At 52.3% G+C, this 2,656-nt stretch overlaps 1 annotated feature.

Moving 5' to 3' along the window:
• Window positions 193-1,154: an enhancer, noted in NCBI's record as "H3K27ac-H3K4me1 hESC enhancer chr12:117319439-117320400 (GRCh37/hg19 assembly coordinates)". NCBI's record gives its function as "activates a minimal SCP1, AML or CMV promoter by ChIP-STARR-seq in naive H9 embryonic stem cells {active_cell/tissue: H9 hESC(naive)}" and the evidence as "EXISTENCE:reporter gene assay evidence [ECO:0000049][PMID:30033119]".

Genomic DNA, 2,656 nt, shown 5'->3' on the forward strand with positions numbered 1-2,656 from the left:
GTTTGTTGTGCTGACGGCGCTATTATTAATTAAAGTGTCACATGGTGGAGGGGGGCGGGGAGGGGGGTTACATCATCCGGCCCCCGGGGGTTGGGGGGGGGGCTGCAGGCAGAAGAAACCGAGAGGTAACTTTTAACCCTAGCGGCGCCGGCAGCTAGGGAGCGCGAGGTTTGGGAGACGGGGAGCGCGGCGCGGGGCGGCGCGAGAAGGCTCCCCGCAGCGGAGGTCCTGGGCTTTGGGGGTCTCGGGGGACCCCCGCGGAGGCGCGGAGCGCGAGGGAAGGTTGTTCTCCTTCCCCTTTTCCTGAATTCAGCTCGAGTTCCGATTTGGCGAGGGAAAAAGGCTTGTTTGCCGTTTTGGATGAAGCTGATGCTGAATTCGGCTGCATTATTCAAAAATATTCCGAGGCTGTTGTTTTGTTTGGGGGAGGTGGGTGGATTCAAAATCTTATGGAAGGGTCAGATTACACCCAACTTGCCTCGTTTCAGGTCTGACTTGGCACCTGTAGGCTTTCAGCCTGACCCTAACGTGCCCCCAGCGCCTGGCTAGAAACCTGACCCTAAAGTGCCCCCAGCGCCCGGTGGGAGGCTGGATGGGCCCACCTGAGCTCGCGTGGGGCGCGGACGGAGGCATTCTCGCTGCCCGGCACCCGCACCCAAAAGACCCTCGCAAGGGGCTTTCTAAAGGGAAACTTCTTGTCTGCTTTCTTTGTGAACATTATTTTCCTGATGGCGTTACAGTTTTCTGCGATGACCCCGATTTAATGCGCAGTGGAGACCCTAAGGGGTCGGCGAGAGGAGGGGCGCGGGGGACTTTAATTCCCCCTTTTCCAATCCGACAGCCACTCCTGTGCACCTCCAGACTGGAGCGTCTGCAGTTGTCACAAACGGTGAAGGTTCAGATGGGCTGGGCGGCTGTCAGGATTCTGTGGGGGAGAATGAAACCTGTGATCTTAAATCGACTGGGATTCAGACAACTTTGGGATTCAGACCATCGGGATGAGTCCAGAGATGGCTCCAAGTTGGGAGTCTGGAACCTGCTGAGGGAGCTTCCGTTCTTGCCTTCCCACCGCAGAGTATAACCAAGATTCTTCGAGTCTGTGAACTTAGTTTTGGTCTGAATTGATCAGGAGGAGAAATGTCCCTTTTGGCCCACAGCGTGGTGAAATGACAACAAAGTCAGGGCTCAAAGCCCACAACACTGTGTGATTCTGGTGGCCTTTTCCCTCACCCAGCTCCAATTATTCTAGGCTTCATAATGGCCAAGACCTACTGCGCATCTTCTATGTCTGGCACCTGTGGGCTTTGGGCGCCCTTGCCTCTGCTGCCTAAAGGTAAATCTCCCAACAATTCTACATGCAATTACTATAATATTTCAAAGATGAGGAAGCTGAGGCACAGGTAGGTAAGGGTTCTTGCCCTAGCTCACAGAGTAGCTAAGAATGAAACCGTCATCTGAACTAGGGCAGTATGCCGCAGGCTCTAAGCTCTTAACCACGGTTTTATACTGCCCCCTGTAATCTGGGAATAATAATACCTCCATCCCAGGATTGGGGCAGAGATTAAATGAGAGAAATGTGTGCCAAGCACCTGGCACGCAGTGGGCCCTGGATAGACCTTGGTTCCCTTTGCTTCTCGCCAGAACCACTTCCCATTCTCCTGGGACTCACCTCCTTAATCCCCCTAGTCTTTACAGAGGGGACCTGATCCATTGCCCGGGTGTAGCGTTCCAAGAATGAAGACACAGTGTCTATTTAAAAAGCCCTTTGGATTTAAATTGAACAATTCCCTCCCCCCATTTTTAATCTGCACGCTTTTAACGGCTCACTTCATGGACATTAATTTTAATGGGACGATTATTACCCTGTTTGGAAGCCTGCCCCTCGAAATGCTGGGCTCGCAAGGTGGCGCTGGGTCGGGTCCCAGCAGCTTGGATGTTGTCTGTAGAAGAGGGGGTGCAATCTTGGCCGTGGGGATGCAACGTTCAGCAGAGGGGGAAGAGAAGGGGGTGATGAAAAAGTGGGAGAGAAGGAAGGACCTCTCTCTCCCTGACACTCTTAAGTCTGGCAGTCCTTAATTTGCACACATGAGTTATCCTGTGCTATTGGACCACTTACTAACTGGGGAGCATGGCCTTGAGAGGTGGCTTTTTGGAGCCTCCATTCTCTCAACTGTAAAGTGGGAATAATAATAGTACCCACCTCCCAGCCTAAATACCAGGAAAGCCCTTACTTAGCACAGTGCCTCCTGGCCCATCATTAGGTTTTTTGTTTTTTGTTTGTTTGTTTGTTTGTTTTTTAGACAGAGTCTTGCTCTGTCACCAGGCTGGAGTGCAGTGGCACGATCTTGGCTCACAGCAACCTCCACCTCCAGGTTCAAGCGATTCTCCCGCCTTGGCCTCCCCAGTAGCTGGGAGTACAGACACCCGCCACCACGCCCAGCTTATTTTTGTATTTTTAGTAGAAATGGGGTTTTGCCATGTCGGCCACGCTCGTCTCGAACTCCTAACCTTCAGTGATCCTCCTGCCTTGGCTTCCCAAAGTGCTGGGATTACAGGCATGAGCCACCATGCCCGGTCCCATCACTAGCATTTAATAAATGTTGACTACTGTTAATATTTTAGAGTGGATCATGTAGTTGTCAAATAGTGTACTTTG

Source organism: Homo sapiens, chromosome 12 (genome assembly GCF_000001405.40).
Source record: "Homo sapiens chromosome 12, GRCh38.p14 Primary Assembly".
NCBI classification, from domain to species: Eukaryota; Metazoa; Chordata; class Mammalia; order Primates; family Hominidae; genus Homo; species Homo sapiens.